This window comes from Homo sapiens, chromosome 8 (assembly GCF_000001405.40).
Source record: "Homo sapiens chromosome 8, GRCh38.p14 Primary Assembly".
NCBI lineage: Eukaryota > Metazoa > Chordata > Mammalia > Primates > Hominidae > Homo > Homo sapiens.
In genome coordinates this window covers 72,570,412-72,588,350 of record NC_000008.11, presented here as the reverse complement: position 1 = coordinate 72,588,350, position 17,939 = coordinate 72,570,412, and the positions used below count along the sequence as shown (strand labels likewise).

The 17,939-nt window shown below is 38.3% G+C and overlaps 1 protein-coding gene across 1 annotated transcript in view, besides 1 other annotated feature; it reads right to left on the bottom strand.

Annotated features, from left to right (window-relative positions):
* KCNB2 (potassium voltage-gated channel subfamily B member 2) overlaps positions 1–17,939 on the bottom strand; it is a 401,125-nt gene that overhangs the window by 349,999 nt on the left and 33,187 nt on the right. The gene's annotated exons all lie outside the window — the stretch shown is intronic.
* Positions 2,716–3,915: an enhancer, noted in NCBI's record as "CDK7 strongly-dependent group 2 enhancer chr8:73496671-73497870 (GRCh37/hg19 assembly coordinates)". NCBI's record gives its function as "activates an origin of replication core promoter dependent on BRD2, BRD4, P300/CBP, MED14 and CDK7 cofactors, with strong dependence on CDK7, by STARR-seq in HCT116 cells {active_cell/tissue: HCT116}" and the evidence as "EXISTENCE:reporter gene assay evidence [ECO:0000049][PMID:35650434]".

The window sequence follows — 17,939 nt, the reverse complement described above, 5'->3', positions numbered from 1 at the left end:
GCTATTCGAGAGGCTGAGGCAGGAGAATCATTTGAACCTGGGATGGGGAGGATGCGGTGAGCCAAGATCACGCCATTGCACTCCAGCCTGGGCAACAAGTGCAAAACTCTGTCTCAAAAAAAAAAAAAAAAAGAAAAGAAACCCAGAGAGACTCAGAATCCTCAGACTGGAAGAAAACTTAGAAAATAAAAATCAAAAACTCTAAAATGTGCCACTGTAAAAATTTATGAGGAAGACAGAACTTTCAGGTTTAAGAGATGTGACCATGTTTCCAGAGCCAGTTCTGTTCTAGTCCAAAAATCAGGAGAATGGCTTTTCAGTAAATGTGTTCCACAAAAACAGTGCACAAGGAGCATAACATTAACCATTTTTTCTTGAAAGCAAATGGACATTTAAATCCATTCTCTTTCAGATTTTCAATGAATCATTTTATAAAGTTAACTCTGGCTGCAGCTCATGGACACATGCCCAATTATAAAGAAATATTTAACCCTATTTTCTTCATGTAATCTAGATGTAATAACCTTAACAACTTTAACAAATAAAAAGTGACTTAAAATAAAGTTTCATCCTGTTATGGAGTTTACATTTCCTTTTCTTTCCTTTTTTTTCCCATTGAGACAGGGTCTAACTCTTTGGCCCAGGCTGGAGTGCAGTGGTGTGATCATGATGACTCTCAGTATAGCCTCAACCTCCCCAGCTTAAGCAATTCTCCCACCTCAGTCTCCTGAGTAGCTGGACTGCAGGCACAGGACACCATACCCAGCTAATTTTTGTATTTTTCTTATACAGCCCACATTTCACCATGTTGTCCAGGCTGCTCTCAAACTCCTGGGCTCAAAAGATTGATGCTCCTGCCTTGGCCTCCCAAAGTGCTGGGATTAAAGGTGTGAGCCACTGCAGCTGGCCCTACATTTTCAATATTTGGACTAAGACTACATAAGTGTATTTAGATGTAACAAAGTCATTCGCTGCTTCTTTCACTGAGCCACCATCCACAGAGAACCTACCATGCTGTCACTGTGCAAGGAGCTGGAAATCATCAGCTAAGAGCTATACTCCCTGTCTTCAAGAAGCTTTCAGTCTCGGGAGGTGGATAGGCTGACAAGTGGATTGTTATTCAGGGTGAAAAGCCAGGAAACAAAAACAAGGTCCTGAAGCAGCCACGCTTTGATGACCTGTTTCATCAAGTTCACAAAGTCAGGATTTGTTATTTCTGCACTATCCAGTCTATACATACTGAGTAAATTCCAGGAAAAAAATCTCAAGAACTGTTTCTTTCTCGACAGTAATACACTGTAGTATAAAGTCAAACAGAAAATTTAAGATTCATCTTTGCTATCAATAGGCCGTATTTTAATAAAAAATTAAAAGAGGCCAACACCAAGTTTGAGAATACCTAGCAACCTTCGAGAGGATCATATGTTATTCATTCTGTAGAGTTTACTTCCTGATGGCTAGGAAATTGAATAAATGACCCTGGAAGTGACCCAGGTCCTAGGACTGGAGGCAGCTTTTAAAAAATGTGATGTGGTTGGATTGTTGACTATAGTTTGCCTTCTTTTTTCGAGGGTTGTTTACAATGTCTGGACAGCATGGCTGATGGAATTACTCTAAACAGAATTTCAAGTTGAAAATGCCCCTGGTTTTGTTACTTAATCTCTCTAAGCTTTAGTTTTTCATCCTCAAAAGTAAGAATGAGAGCACCCAACTCAGGGGATTATTGTGCAACTGAAATACGATAACATGAAAAGTATTATGGTAGACAATTAATGCTTGTCTGTTTCCCAGACATCATGTCCTTCTGCACTATCAGGCTATCAGGCTTTTCAATTTCCTTAGTTCTTTTCTATTGAGAGATTTTTCTTTTCTCCCCCTCTGTGACTAAGTGCAGGAATTACAAAACGTTGAACACATTTGTTTCAAAAATGATTTCAATTTATAAATTTTGTTGTCTTTTTGGTGAACTAATCCAATCATCTTAGGGCTTTTGTATACAATAGAGAAATTCTAATTTAACTACCACCTGGAACTCTAAAACCTCAACCATAAAAAGTGGCTACAAATGGAATCTTTTCATTCCTCAAAGACAGTTGTTCAAAGTGGAGTTGACACACGGTAATGGGTTTGACACTGGTAACCAGCCTCACAGATTTCCAAGTGGCTAATTTTATAAAAGTTTTTCTTTTCTGCAGTAAGAGGTAGGGAATGGAAATGCTGTAGGAATTCATTCTGGTAAGCCTAAGGCATCTGACAGTGTGGACATTTTTTCTTCTCCACACGGAAAAACATCACCATGTCATTTTTTAGGAATGCTGGTGGATTAATAAGAGTCTACTTAGAGTGAAAGAGAACATAAGAAATAGCAATTAATTTTTGGAAGTGATCTGACTAGACAGAAATACCATACCCTTTTAAATGTTTCAAACTACTGTCTTTCAAACTGCCAGTTTCCTTTTTCTTTTGAAAATTTAGATTTTTAAAATATCAAATGACAAATTCAAACAAATGTCAGTTGCCATTATTTGGCCGAAATAAGGTATTTTCCAAATCTGCTCAGAAAAACACCAATAGATCTCTGTTACAAAACAATCATATTTTGTCATAATCACTCATATGAAAAATCTTAGGTTTTTCTCTTTTTTCCATCATTGATATAACTTCTGTCTTTAAAGAAAACATCCGTTGGGCATCACGGCTCATGCCTGTAATCCCAACACTTTGGGAGGCTGAAGCAGGAGGATCACTTGAGGCCAGGAGTTCAAGACCAGCCTGAGTAACATAGAGAGACCCTGTCTCTAGAAAAAGAAATAAAGAAAACATTGAAAAACTAAGCATTTATTGATCATGTGATTAATGCTTTGCAACACATTCTAAACACTAATTTAAGCATCAGAAAGAGAGAGAAGATAAAACAAGAAAATAAAACAAGCCTTCAAGGGGTTTAAGCTCTAACTGAGGAAATGAACATATATTCACAGAAAATGCAGTCAAGAAGAAACAAATAAATGCATGGGAGTTTCTTAAAAGAAAATTGTATCAACTTATATATTATGAAGAATTCCTAGGGAATTCCTGGCAATTCCTCTGTGTTAGTTGGGAATTGTGTACAAAACTTATTGCATCTCTTGTCTATAGTCTGCCACTTGGCCAGGGACAGAAACTAACAATAACAACAAAAAAAAACCCCTTATTTAGTGCTCCCTATTTGCCAGGTATTATGCTAAGCCATGTCACAAGTATTAAATCATTCAGTCTTCAGCAAGACTCCATGGGACAGAAATCATGACCACCCTACCTTAGAGACGAGCAGCCTATGGCACGAGAGGTGGGTACATCCCTGGCAGAGTTCCAGAGCCATATTCAGCAAGGTGAGGCTCCAGAGGCCTCCTCCAAACGACTTCAACCTCTTTGTGATAATCTGGACTAGGGAGCCAAGAGAGATGGGAGAGATGGGGAGAGAGAAAGGAGCAAGGGTTTCTGATTTTTTTTTTCTTTATCTTTAGCAACTCCAAATCTGGGCTCCAGATGGTAGTTTTTGTTAAGAGCAAATAACCACAAAGCAAATACCAAAGGGTTTTCCATGATTTTAAGCATTATAAATGTATAAGACCATGCCTTTTTCATTCAATAGAAATAATATTTTACCTGTTTACTAAATCAAAATTACAAAGATATTTGCTGTGGTTTTCCTGATACATAGTCCATGTTCCTGCAAGGGCACGGGTGGGCAGGTGAGAGTGGTTTATGTTATCATTGGGTGAATCTTGGTCTAAATTTAAAAAATATATATTTTTCACTTCCTATAAATCATGACTGCTATTTATAGTTACGGAAGTAGTAAAAGGTAAGAGTTTTTTTTTAATAGTTTTTTTCTCTGTTCCATAATCAAACAAAAACAAAAAGGACTGCATCCTTCATTTAAATGGAACCAGCCCTGAGGAGCAGAGGTGAGAAAAGGCCATTAGGAGTGTCAGCTCTGAGCCTCACTCCCAGGTTCCAGAGCCAAACAGGGTCCAGGGCATTTCCGAGACTTTAACTCTCCCCGCTTTCATGGACTCCCTCATATTTATCTTTGTCTGGCTTTGCCAGTTTATATGTGTGTCTATATGTTGTCTCTGATTGACTTTTTTAAAAAATCCTCTTTAAATGCCCTTAAAAAAGGTATCTAGATCTGTCTGTGCCTGGTTTTACTTTTGTCTAAATGTTCTTTTCCTCTAAACGGTTTTTTTCTGTTTTTTTTTGTTTTGTTTTGTTTTGTTTTGACAGCACTAAACAACGATAATTATGAGGATTGCTGAAAACAAACCTACCACCACTGGCATTCTTAAACTGGTTTAACTTTAAAAAGAGGTATTTTTGGTTTTGGGTTTGGGTTTTGTTTGTTTTTTTTTTTTTTTTTGATATTCTATTGTTGTAACTGTTGAAATCTAAATTATGAAAGATAGCATTTTTTTCCTCATAATTAAAAAAAATGGGTATCTAGGACAATGTACCCATAAACCCCAGTTTTAAGATGAAAGACATGAAATGTAAAAATATTTTAGATGATTTTTCATTGAATAAATAAATGCACTCATTCTATATAGTTTTACCATTTAATGGGATTCAGTCTCTCTCCAGAATTATTACAAAAGTCTCTGGGTTCATCTTTTCAATTTTCTATTTTCAATGCAGGAGCTGAGGGGAGCCTGGTGCCATGTGAGTCAGATCACTACTGCTCAGAACTCGCCCAGGCTTCCCATGATCTTTCAGGGAAAAAAGGCAAAAGCCCTGCTAAGAGGCTACACAGCCCTACAGGTTGAAGTGTGTTTCCACTTCAGTGCACAAATAATTAACAGCAGAACTGAAAATAATGTGACAGGTTTTTTTTTGTTTTTTTTTTGCCACAGAATTTTGAAAGAATTAATTTATAATGCAATCTACTAAAAACTCAAAAACAGATATCATGTGGAAGGTTTAAACAAGTGGATACAATTTTACTCTTAGCAATTATCTCATTAAAATTCTTAGAAGATGTATATAAGGCTTAAAGATTTCTAATGCACAAAATAACTCTTCAAACAATAATTTTATGAATTATTAAATTGAAACAAGTCAGAATTTAAAAGGGACTGATTAAGGCTCTTTCTGAAAAGCTAAATTAGAGAATCCCATCAGTAAGGTCTGAAATACCAGAATAATATTTGAATTGAACATTCTTTATCACCAAGTAGCATGCTGATAAAAAGCATTTTTGAAAGAAAAAGGAATGCCTAATATTTATCTAAATCCTGAACTTAGGAGTTTCCAAAAATTTTTTTTTTTGGATTACAATGAAAGTCAGTTCCCCTAAGCTGATACCATTATTATTCTTTTACGTTTTGTAGTAAAAATAAAGATTCTTGATTTCCCCTTTTCACATTACATCATTAAGAATGTATTTTTTCAAAGCCGGGCATGGTGGCTCATGCCTGTAATCCCAGCATTTTGGGAAGCCTACATGGCAGGCTTGCTTGAGGCCAGGAGTTTGAGACCAGGCTGGCAACATCCCAAGACCTCGTCTCTACAAAAAAAATAATTTTTTAAAAATTAGTTGGGTGTGGTGGTGCTCATCTATAGTCCCAGCTACTCAGGAGGCTGAGGCAGGAGAATTGCTTGAGCCCAGGAGTTTGAGGTTACGGTGAGCTATGATGGCATCACTGCACTGTAGCCTGAGGAAAAGAGCAAGATCTTGTCTCTAAAATCGTACAAGTTTTAAAAAGAACTTATTTGTTTCAGACTATCTTCAAATCCTCACAAAAAGACATTATCTTGGAGGTCTATCTTGATTCAAACTCTGGACTTATCCACATTTGTAACTTCTCCTGAGTACTGGGATAGCTCTGAGGGACAGCTCCCCAGGTGGCCTTGTACCAACACAGACTCCCCTCTTTCTTGCTTGTAGCTCTCTAGAATAACTGTAGAATGTGCTGGAAGTGCAACATCTGAGACAGGGACTGGCCAGAACAGCCAGGGCTCTATTCCAATCTCCCGTAGAAATGGGATGCCTTCCAATGCTTTAGTTCCTTAAAGCCCTGAACAGGATGCCTTCTGCGGTCCCTCTGCTGCAGTGCAAGTAGGGCACATGCAGATAAGATTCCATCTGCCCTGGGCAGCTTTCCTGAGCCTTGGGGGATGCAGCTTGCCCTGACTTCTAGGTTTCTATTGTCCCTTGCTGCCTATCTGTAAGTAATAAGTCTGCTTCATGTAACTTATATGTGGGGGTGTTGTGTCTCATTAGACTCAGACGAGTTGGTAACCAATGCACTTGAACCTGCTTCACAAACTCCACTTGGGGCCTAGGACCTGTAAAGGGTGGATGGTTGAACCTAAATAAATGATCTATCCATCTGCCATCAGTGGTAGAAGGGCTGCCTATCCCCTGGGGGTCAGATCAAGCTCTCCTCCACACAAAGGCTACACTTTACCTATGACAAGAGTTCCCAGAGCCCACAGTTCCGATAACCAAATGAGCAACCCTAGCAAAGCAAAGCAAAGCATCTGCAAACCTGCCTGTCAGAAGCACCTGATTCCTTTCTTTGCATAAACCCTGTAGCATACAGAGCAGCCTACACTGCTATTTTAGATGGAGAGTTTATACAATGTAAAAATGTAAAACCCACATCTGTGGTTCTCAGCCTATATCGAAAACGTACAACCATTTAAAACCAGGAAGACATCCGGCTTTCTTAAACTGTTGAAAACAAACCCAGCATTACTCAGGTCTAATCGCTAGAATCAGATACCCAACCTCTATCTATGCTATTTAGTCCTCACAGAGAAATAGGAATACTGTGAAACATTTAGTTTTGCTGTTATTCCTGCCCTCCTGTGTCATTTGGAGGCACAGTCAGTGTTCTTTATGTGTCAGGAGCTATGCTAGGTATCAGTAATTGAAGATAAGAAACAGTTCGGATTCTTCAAGTGCTGCAACCTAGCTGAGCAGTTGAACACAGCACAGTCAAAATCATGAGATTACAAGGATGAAGAGAGAACTAGGGGAAAACAGGTTAGAGAGAGAATCAGGCAGACCTCACAGGAGCGTGACATATGAGCTGAGACAGAAAGAAGGACAGAGAAGGAAGTAGTGGTGGCCATAGGTGTGTGACTGTGCCAGGTACGTGCAGGTGTGGCTGCAGCTCGTATATGAGGCACATTTGAGCAAACTAGAAAAAAATGATGTTCCTTCTGGATGGATATAGCCATGTGGAAATACTCTGTTGAGTTCAGTGAACAACCTGTCTAGACCAGAGCCCTGTCTTCAGGAATGGTTGGTAGTCTGCAACACCTGGGGCACTGTGTTTGAGAAGTGGTAAGGCATATGGTTATATAGGAGGGTTGTGAGGGATCATAAATGCAATGCTAAGGAGTTTGGACTAGATCGCAGGCAGTGGGGAATCATTGCAGTTTTTAATTCAGGAGAGGCCCACAAGAAAGACATATTTTAATTCTGTTGGCTAAATGGAGAATGGATTAGAATTGAGGGGGGAGGCCAGGAATGAAATGAAAATGCCCAGTTCATGACTTACAACAATAGTCCAAGCATGAGATGATCAAGGTCTAGATCATAGCAGTGCATCCAGTGGTCCTAACTCAGCAGAAAAGGAATAGGATAAGTAAAGGTAAGAGAACTTGCAGTAGGGACAAAATGTAGATTTAGTGGGAAATGGAAGGGGGCTCCATGGTTGTAAATAGGATTCAAGATCCCAAAGACAGACTAGTTTTATCCATATGCTAACAGAGTTCAAAATGTGAAATATTTAGGGTGGAATTTATGATTCACTGTTGTCCTGTGGGATAGCAAGTGGGTACGGTATAAGATGATTTTAAGTGATAAACCAAAGCCTTCAGTGAATATCAAGAAGTGATGAGACTATTGGACAATGATAGGAAAGGAATGAAAAATACAACTAGAAATACAACTGTGAGAAAGCCAGGCTGTGGCTAGACTGGGTATGAATATCAATATGGCATTAGTGTGGGGCACTCGACACACATTTGATATTTCTGGGTTTCAACTCTCTAATCTCTGTAATACAATTAATGATGTGTTCTCATAGGATTGATATAAAGTAGTGGTTGGCAAACTATGGCCTGTGGGCTAAATTCACCTGCTGTCAAGCTTTATAGGAACCCAGCTACTTCCATTGGTTTCCATAGTGCCCGTGGTTGCTTTCTCACCACAGCAGCAGAGCTGAGTAGTTGCAACAGAAACCTTATGGCCCATGGAGCAGAAAATAGTGACTCTCTGGCCCTTTACAGAAAAAGTTGTGGAGTCAACATCAAAAAATCAACAAGCTTAGTGTATGGCACATAGCAGACACTCAATATAAATATAAATCTCTCCCCTCCTGCTGTTTTGAGAAAGTCATATTAATTACTGAGGGGATGTGAGAAAGTGCTTTTCACTTCATGACCCTGGACTGCAGGGAACAAGTTCCTTTTTTTCCCCCAGGCTGGGAAGGAAGCAGTATTGTTAGAAAAGAATTGGTCTCAGAATAAGAAGATAGAGTAAGGGTTGCAAGAACACTCTGATGATACTAGGAAGTTGTATCCATACCTCACAGAGGACTTTGAAAACAGAAGCTAATACAGCCTTGTGAAAGCATCTGTTACTGTATTAGGTATCAATTAACAGTCTCTTTCCCCAGAGTTAAATTTCTGCTCAAATAGAAGGCTCTGGGGATAGTGACGCTATTACGAGAAAGCGGAAAGTAAAACCAGCTTAACTTGCACAGCCCGAGTTCACGGATTAAGGGAGGGCAGAGGGTGGGTGAAGAATCAGCTTCTCTCAAAGGGAGAGGAAAAGTATTATGTAGATGCTGATTTTAAAGAGTTGACAAGAGAAAATTCTACTTGTCTTAGCCTCCGATGCTTTAGGATAAAGAAAAACACACACCTTCTTTATAGATTAAAGTCCAAATGAAATCCATTTGGAGGGTGAGCTAGCTTCTTCAATTCGGACTCTTACAATATTCAATTTTGTGAAAATTTAAGTAGACATCAACTCATGAAAAGATTTACAACCAGATGAAAAATAAATATGAAGTCTGATTGGAGCCAAAGAAATTCAGTAGAAAATCAACAGTTGTTCAGTAAAGTATAACCCAAACAGTCCTAGGTGAGGAGGGCTCTCGAGGGGCTCAGTGGGGCTCTGAGCGGAGCAGGCAGTGGGAAAGGAGCTAAGAAGCAGGTATGTAGAGATTAACAGAACCTCCTCAGGCAGAAATAAAATCATGGCTGAAGGAAGAAAGAAAGACATTTCCTTATTTGGGCCGTGCTGCAATGAAAATGACATCTGGATATTTTCCAAGTTCCCATTGGTGGCAATATGGTGCCTTAGAGAACCTCTTCTGCACAGAAAGTACACCATGAGGCCACCCACCCCACCACAGCCAGGTCAGATAAACAGCAAAGGCCTGTCATCTGATCTGCAGGCTCACTTATTTTTAAATGTATGCATCAAAGTGCAACGGGGGAGAAAAGCTCATCAAAGCTTTGGCATTTGCCAAACAACTCAACCAAGATGGGTAAACAAAGAATCCAAAACAGTTTTTTTTCAATTATAATATTTATTTCTTTAAGTTCATAAATACACTTGGTATATTGTTAAAATCTGCCTATCAAAACAGTTTACTGCCTTAAAGTTTCCTCAGGCTAATCTGTATATAAAACTATTTTTAAAAGGTGTGTGTGACTAGCACTTGGTAAATATTCCATGTAATTTAAAATATTTATAATGGCTCATGAGTTAGAGTCTGAAAAATAAAGACCAGGGCTTAAAACCGATTTTTTTTGCTTTGAATTTTAATATTACTCATAATGCAATTACTTTACTTATATAACACAATAATTTTCACACCTGCAGAATTCTTTTAAGAAATATAATAAAGTGTGTTAGCTTTTTTACATAGCAAATATGAAATGGCAAATTCATGTTATCCTAGATTCTGGCCTACTATTTCATATTTTCACTGCATACATAGTTCATTCCATCTGTAGTATGGCAAATTATCACCTTTTAGAAAGTAAGATTACCTACTAACGTTTTTCTGCCTCTAAACTAAAAAATGCACTGAAATAGAACAGGTTGTTCACCACAGGGATATTATGTAGGGCCTCTGCTAGTTTCCCAAAGTAAATTTCCATTGTATTAATGAAATACATCTAATTTATCACAGCATGACTCTGTTGCTGTTCTTCAGAGTGTCATTGATTTATTTTTTAATTCAACCAAATCCTGAATAAAACTACATGCTCTGACATGAATGTACAAGTTAGATGGTCCTATACAAAATGTTGCCAGATACAAATGCAATTCTAAGATACAAACTAAAATGTGAGTGTTTTAAAAAATCTATATTTGAAGAATCCATTTGGTTAAGAACTTAACTTAGATGACAGCAGATAGGACAACTGCCCTTCAGTATTCCAAATTGAGCTCTAGATAGTATATTGATTAAAGCTAAAACGATGACTTGAAGGCTAGGGTTCTTCCTCTCCTGTGCAAATATCCTGAGGTTGGTTGCAGTGACGGATGCTGCAACCAAGCAAACCCATCTGGAGCTGCACCGGGTTGACTTGGCTGTCCTTGGCACTGCTGTGGCGTAGGCTTGAAGTAGCTATTTAAAGTGGCATCCAACACTTGGGGTTGCATCACGAGTGACCCAATGAGAGAGAAGTTAAAGCGTGAAATCTAGGGTGGCAATGACCTCTAGCATCCTGAAACAAAATCTTGGGAGACTAATAAAAATATTTCTTCCTTCTATTCTTGGACCATGAGAGCACTTCCTATGAATTTTCATGCCCTATCAGGTTATCACAAAAGTTTGTATTCTGAATGGGCTGACTGTCTTATTTGGATGACAAAGTTGCATCTATTCTAAATTGCCAAATACATGCTGAAGTTCATTGCTTTTTCTGCAGGTGGGTTCTTTACAATAGAACATACTCTAATGAAGAGGTGGTAGTATATATAAGTAACATCTCTCTCTCTCTATCTCTTTCTCACACACACACACACATACACACACACATACACATGGGCACATACAACAGACTTTGTCTGGGTACTACTCAGTGAGGGCTGCTGCTACTGGCTTCAGCCACCGTAGACACAGAAACTTGACAACAAACATCAGTTGGGTTCAGGTACCTGTCCTTAGTAATATCCAGAGGAATTCTTTTACTTAAAACTTTGTAAAGACATTAAAGGAGATGATTTAAGTGGAAAAATACATTCATTTTATGCATTAGTTAAGGAGTTAACTTAAACCTAGATATATGCACAGCCAAAAATAAATACTATATGGGTGCAAAGTCTGATATAGTTCTGATGTTAGTTCCTAGTATCTCCTGGAAAAACTTTGGAGAGATGAAAGCAAATGTCTTCCTCTTCCATTTTTCTATTTCCTGCCTCTGTGCCAGTTACTACATGTCTCTGTTCCTCATTCATCCATAAATAGCTGTTTTATTCTAGCTTCATTATGTTTGTGTTAAGCCTGACATAGCAATTGCAGAGAAGTCTCAGTCTCTTCAAGTCCTTCAATGTTTTGCTTATAAACTCTAAAGTGATCATCAACTACGGTCCAGGGGACACTGGGAAAGGAGGTTAAGAACTGGATGTTGCTGATAGATACAGTAAGTGCAACTTGCCTCTAGTGCCCACATACTATGTGGAACAGCTTGCTGGTGTGGCTTGGGGTCACCTTCATCTTTCTCTGTCCTGCTGCAGAGGGAGAAAGGATTTTAATGACCAAACAGGCTGTTAGTGGGCAAAAATAATTCCCAAGCTTACTGTTATCTTGAAAAGCTTCTACCACCTCTTAGAATACTGAGATAGAATATTTTCAATGAGGGATGTGTCCTGAGAGCTTTATAAATCTCTACTATGCCACATAATCTCCCTTATAAATACAGTAACATATAACGAGAGCTAGTGCAAATAACAATGAGGAGAAAGAAACAAATTGGGTAAAGTGGACAGCATTGGGTGACCAGCTAAGCTCGCTCACTCTCAAAGTCACTAGCTCCTACACACCAAGCTTACATTATACATAATGCAGATTTATGCCTCAGGGCATTACAGATTACCGAATGCCATGGAACTCTGGGGTTATTCTCAAATAGAATCAAACCACCAATGCTAAGTCAATGCTCAAAACAAAAATAACTATTGTAATCTATGGTTATTTCATGAATTGTACTTTAGCAGCTGTTTTGTTTTTTCCTATACCATGTTTTGATCACAATTCTTTTCAAATCAATTTTGTTAATTATGATAAAGGAAAACACCTTCCTTTATCCGAATGATCAATTCAAATGGGTAAACAGACAGAGTCTCTCTGTTAGGAATGGCTCTTACTTGGGATCAGTTAGCAATGTCAGGTAGGGCCAGAAAGGCAAGTTTTAAAAATTATGAACATATTTTGTTTATGAATTTCAAACTCTTTAAAAAAATTATAGGATTGTCATTTGTTAATTAAAATAATTTGAAACATTTTGTGGAAAACAAAGCATTCTCTAGAGTTACTGTGATGATTTAAAATACATTTCTTCTAGTTCTATTTTTTGCTCTAAATTATTTTAAATTTTACTTGAATAATTAGTGTATGTATTTCTAGTGGACTGCCTCTTTTGTGGAACAAACTAGAAATGTAGAGGAATTAAAAATTAATAAAGTGCCCAAAGCTGTTTAGTTTCCATGACTCAATTTATGCAATATTTAGCATTCAATAAAATATTCAATATTTTATATGTGATATGTAATATTCAATAAAACTGACTAATTCAACATTCCTTAACAAACAATCCTATAGGTTCTCTGGGAAGAGAATATTTTGTTTCATATTATATGCCAAATATGTCTATAAAATATAAAAGTGGATAAGAAAAAGGAAAATATCAGTGGCATTCAAAATAGCATCTTCTCATGTTTAGTCCCAGTATAACTAACTGCTGTTTCTATACCATATCACAATCACAATGCTAATCAATAGTATGAGTATTAATATATCAATATATACCATATATATCAATGTACCAATCCTTATGAGATTCTCTGTAACATGCTGGGGCGGGGGTGGGGGAGAAGCTAAATAGTAACAATATAAATAAACATGGATAAGACAATGAGCGACCATCTCCTTGAGGAATCAAAGCAATTTCATGTATTTATCAGATGAACTTTCAGATTGAAGTTCCACTACAGAACATAAATGCTTAAAAGTAAACAATATGAGGTGGCTACCTGAAGTCCAGGTATATGCCCCATGGGAAATTTCCTATAAACTCTTAGCATTTGGAAAGTATTTGTTTGTCTTCTTCCTTTTAATGATAGATAAAACTCAGATAAGAACACCTAATCAAAAACATTATTCAAACCCTTCTAGAGTCTTCCAAAGTGGACAGTGTTAAATATTGCAACCTTCCTTCATAACACTTACGCTTACCTAAAAGAGTAGATCATTTATTTTACAAACTTTCTCACTTGAAACAAAGAAAACAAACCCACTAATAATCAAAGCAGTGTATATAAATTTTCAAAGCCAGAATATGTAAATACTGTTGATGTACTCTATTTTGTGATAACACTAAGTAATATAGAAAGAACTCCTTTTTCAACGTTGAAAATGATAATTAATGTATTTATTGAGGTTTAAAAAATAAAGCTTGAAAAGAATCTGATGTTTTTTAATATTAATGAAAACTAATGATTTTTCTAAAGAGATGGAAAAACTGCTTGGAAATTAAGACTGGCCCTCTTCAGATGCAACCAAGAAGCAAAGAGGAACCAAAAAGTGCATGATTCTTGGGTAATTTACTTTTTCAAAAATATTCACTTGCAAGGTGATGACTTAGTTCATTGTGCAAACTGGGACACTTTGAAGAGTAAAAAGAGATGCTATTAATAATTAGACTGGGACAAAAGGCATTAGCCAGGACTATCTCCATAACCTATGGCACCCTAGGTCACAATGGGATGTGGGGGTATGAGCTTTTTATGACTTCCTCTTCTTTTCTTGCCCTTCTCTCCCATGATCAAACATGGCCAACTGAACAGAGTGATGAGTTTTCAGGGCAGCCTTTCCGGGAAAGCAGAGAAGCATGGATCTAGAAATAGGATCGCTGCAGCTAAAAAACAGAATATTTGAGACATTTAAACCAAAACCCAATGGTGTTTTCTATTTTAACTGTTTTATTTTCTTATGCCTTATTTCTTTCAGGTTTATGACCTGTTAGTCTTCATGGATGATACATTTTAAGAAAGGAAAAAGCAAATCTTCAAGCTAAACCTCTGCAGATTGGCCAAGTTCTTTTAAACTCTATCATCTCCTGTTAACATCTCTGAACTCTTATGCTATGTTGTTGGAAGAATACAAACTGCTTAATCTGTATAGATGGGATGCAGAGAGGAAAGGGAAAGAAAGGAAAATGGTAAACCACCAATACAGAAACAGTGTGACTGGCATGCTAATTAGCCCACTGCAGATAAGAATGAGAGTACTGCGTAGTACACAGAGGTGCCTCAATGTAGAGGAGAGCACTGCACGGTACACAGAGGGGCCTCAATGTAGAGGAGAGCACTGCATGGTACACAGAGGGGCCTCAATGTAGAGGATAGCACTGCACAGTACACAGAGGGGCCTCAATGTAGAGAAGAGCACTGCACGGTACACAGAGGGGCCTCAATGTAGAGGATAGCACTGCGTGGTACACAGAGGGGCCTCAATGTAGAGGATAGCACTGCACGGCACACAGAGGGGCCTCAATGTAGAGGACAGCACTGCACGGTACACAGAAGGGCCTCAGTGTAGAGGGGTTTCTGTGTTGTTCACACTGCATCACTTCATGTTTTTGGCTCATTTGTGGTTTTAATGCCTATTGTTATATTTTCTTACCACTAAGATGGTCATCAGAAAGCTAAACAAAGAGTGTTATACAGCCCAAGCTGTTCACTTGGCTGGATCTCCTTACAAGCATAACATGTGAAAGTTCTGTTCTCGAACTGAAAGAAAATCATTTATGATTCTGTTCCAATGCCTTCCTTCATTTTTCATTCAAAGCATTAGAATAACTGATCCATATACTATAAATAGAATGAGAATGTTATGTATTTTTTCTTCCTTGATAAGTACACAGGAGTTTTTGTTTTATTTTATTTTTACTATTTCTGTGGCTTGAAAGGCCTACACTCTAATTTAGTTGGAATAGGGGACTAGTTCTCAAGGAGTTATCAACAGGGCAACCAAACAGGTACCAGCATCTAAGAAACTCATAATTTGGACCCCTGGCTCTGTGGAGAGCTGAATTTCCAAGCACAGACTGCCCATCTGCCACCAGCAGCTCCCGACTTGATCCAAGGATGGCTAAGGTCTCCTGGCCCTTCAGGTGCCGCGCTGCACCATGCCAACGACAATGGACCTGTGGATATATGCAGGGAGTAAGATGCAGGCAGGAAACGCGGTCATCTCCTTCCCTCCGTCCCATGCATTTTCAAGGGGAGAAAACTGGTGCTAGTGAGAAGGAATAAAAAAACTTACGTAGTACCATCATTTGTGGCCCTCTGAACTCCATTTTTCAATTTAACTTAATTTTTCTCCTTAGGGAGCTATTGATGAAAAAAAGTGTTGAAATCTTTCTCTAGTCAATCATTCCCCCCTTTTCTTAAGCTAAAATAAAACCAGTTCCCGAGGGGCACAAGATATGCCTGTGTGTGTGTGTGTCTGTGTGTGTCTGTGTGAGAGAGAGAGAGAGACGCAGAGAGAGCCTGAGAGAGAGAGGAGGAGCGGGGAGAGGAGTGGGGGAAAGGGAGGGAGGAAGTGGTGGCTACAGATTAATGAGGAAATTGAGGAGTGGGAAGCAGATCCTAAACCATGCCCCACTTGACCTGTATGCTTTCCTGAAAAAGCTGCTGGGTGCTCTCACTGTTTGGTTCAGATGAATAGAAATGTGTTTCCGCAGATTTTGCCTCCTGCTGTTCTTATCCAATAAGGGCTGCTTATGTTCTAGCTTCCTGACCTGACACCTGAGATCAGCCTGTTGTCTGGCACTGCCCGGCACACACATCCACTTATGCTCTTAGAGTGAAGCTTCCCTCAGAGGACTCAGCCATGAACCCAGGTAGCTGGATTTGCCAGAAACCCAGCTGATTTCCTTTGTTCTTGACCTTCTTAAGACATCCAAAGTGTGGGCCCTGTGTGGTACTGATGAGTCTAGTTTCTTTCAGATCTCAGGTGGGCTGTGCTACTTCCTGATTGTTGTTTCATCCCGAAGGCTGAGAATATTGCCTGCCACAAGACCCATTTCTCAAATATGCTTTTAAACACCTCTTAGACTGAAGTCACTATATGCAATATTTACAGGGAACTAGCAACTGCAGTTTCTTTGGGAAGAGGCCAAGGAAAAGAGAGAAAAATGTTTCCAGTCCAGAGACTGACTAAATTGCCCTGGCCTGGAAGAGGTACAGGATCAAGTCAAATTCCAATTTTTGCCCAGGAAACTGGCAGCAAGTTGAGCCCTTTTCTTCCCCTTGCACGATCCTATGAAAGGCACACTAAAACCAGCAATTCCTGTCATGGTAACCCAGGGAGTTGTTCCAGTCATGCCCTGGGCCCATTCAGCTGAGCCACACATTCACAAACCATCTCAAATTTAAACTGTGTAAATTATTTCTATATGAGGACATGTACAGTCACCAAGATACACTGACAAGAGTCAAAAATGACAGAGTCCATCATACAGATAAAAACCTGTGTCCCATTGCCAAATCACACCATATCCCAGAGAACTAAGAAATAAGTATTTCTATTAGCCCTGTCATTATATTTTGAATAGTACGATTATATTTCATGGTTTTCTATATATGTGCAAAAATGTTAATTTGTTAAATGTAATATTTCAGATATACCACATTGTTAAATGCTGTTTTGGCTTTTTTTCAGTTATTAATACACCAGAACATCCAAGTAAGAGAAGTGGCTCCTTATGTGACACCAGGGAACATGTTCCATAGGAGTTGACTTGCTATTGTCAGAGAAATACCCAAAGACAAAAATAATAGGTCAGTTGACCTTGTAATAATTTTTTATATCATAGGGGATGCATATAGCATGGGCTGAACAATTATTACTTAACTGATTATTGAGTATTTTATTTCGTATCAAAGAATAGATATTTTAGCCTGTTATGCAACACCTGACAGAGAGGGTCAAGTTTTTCCTTCCATACTAGGGATCTGGCAAATAATCTTAATAGCTTTTATACTTTCTTCATTACAGGAATCTATTAAGTTATATAAAAACCAAAAGAGAAAAACACAAGAATATTTTCAATAATATGAAATCCCAGTTAAAGATAAGAGAATATTTTAAGAATATTTTTAAATTCTGGAAAGAATGGAGTGTCTAAGTATCTACTTTAATGTGTGTGGCACACATACAGCATATGTTCAACTAAATTACCATACTGAATAAGCAAAAACTGGAAAGGCAAGGTCCACAGATATTCTGCTTTAAAGCTATCTTACCTCCTCAGCAAGTGAGGACAAACACGAAGGTTCCAAGCATTCCTACACAAGGGCTTCACAACATAGAAAATAGCCTGATGTACCCATACAATAAAGTAAATAGTGAGGGCTAGAATATCACCCTACTGCAGCTGTAATATTACTACTTTTTCTTAAGTTGTGAAAATACTATCCACACATACCTGAATTACCACTTCTCTCACCAAGAATTACTCCAGAAAGAAAAAAAAAACAAGTTATAGGACTCGTGAAGAGTACAGGAAAAGGTAGTGGTTTATATAAGACATCACACAGAGCCATTTTAAAAGGCTCTAAACCTCAGACAAATGAACAATAATTTCACTAAACTACTATATAATCAAATGTAAATACTTTCCATAATATTTCACTA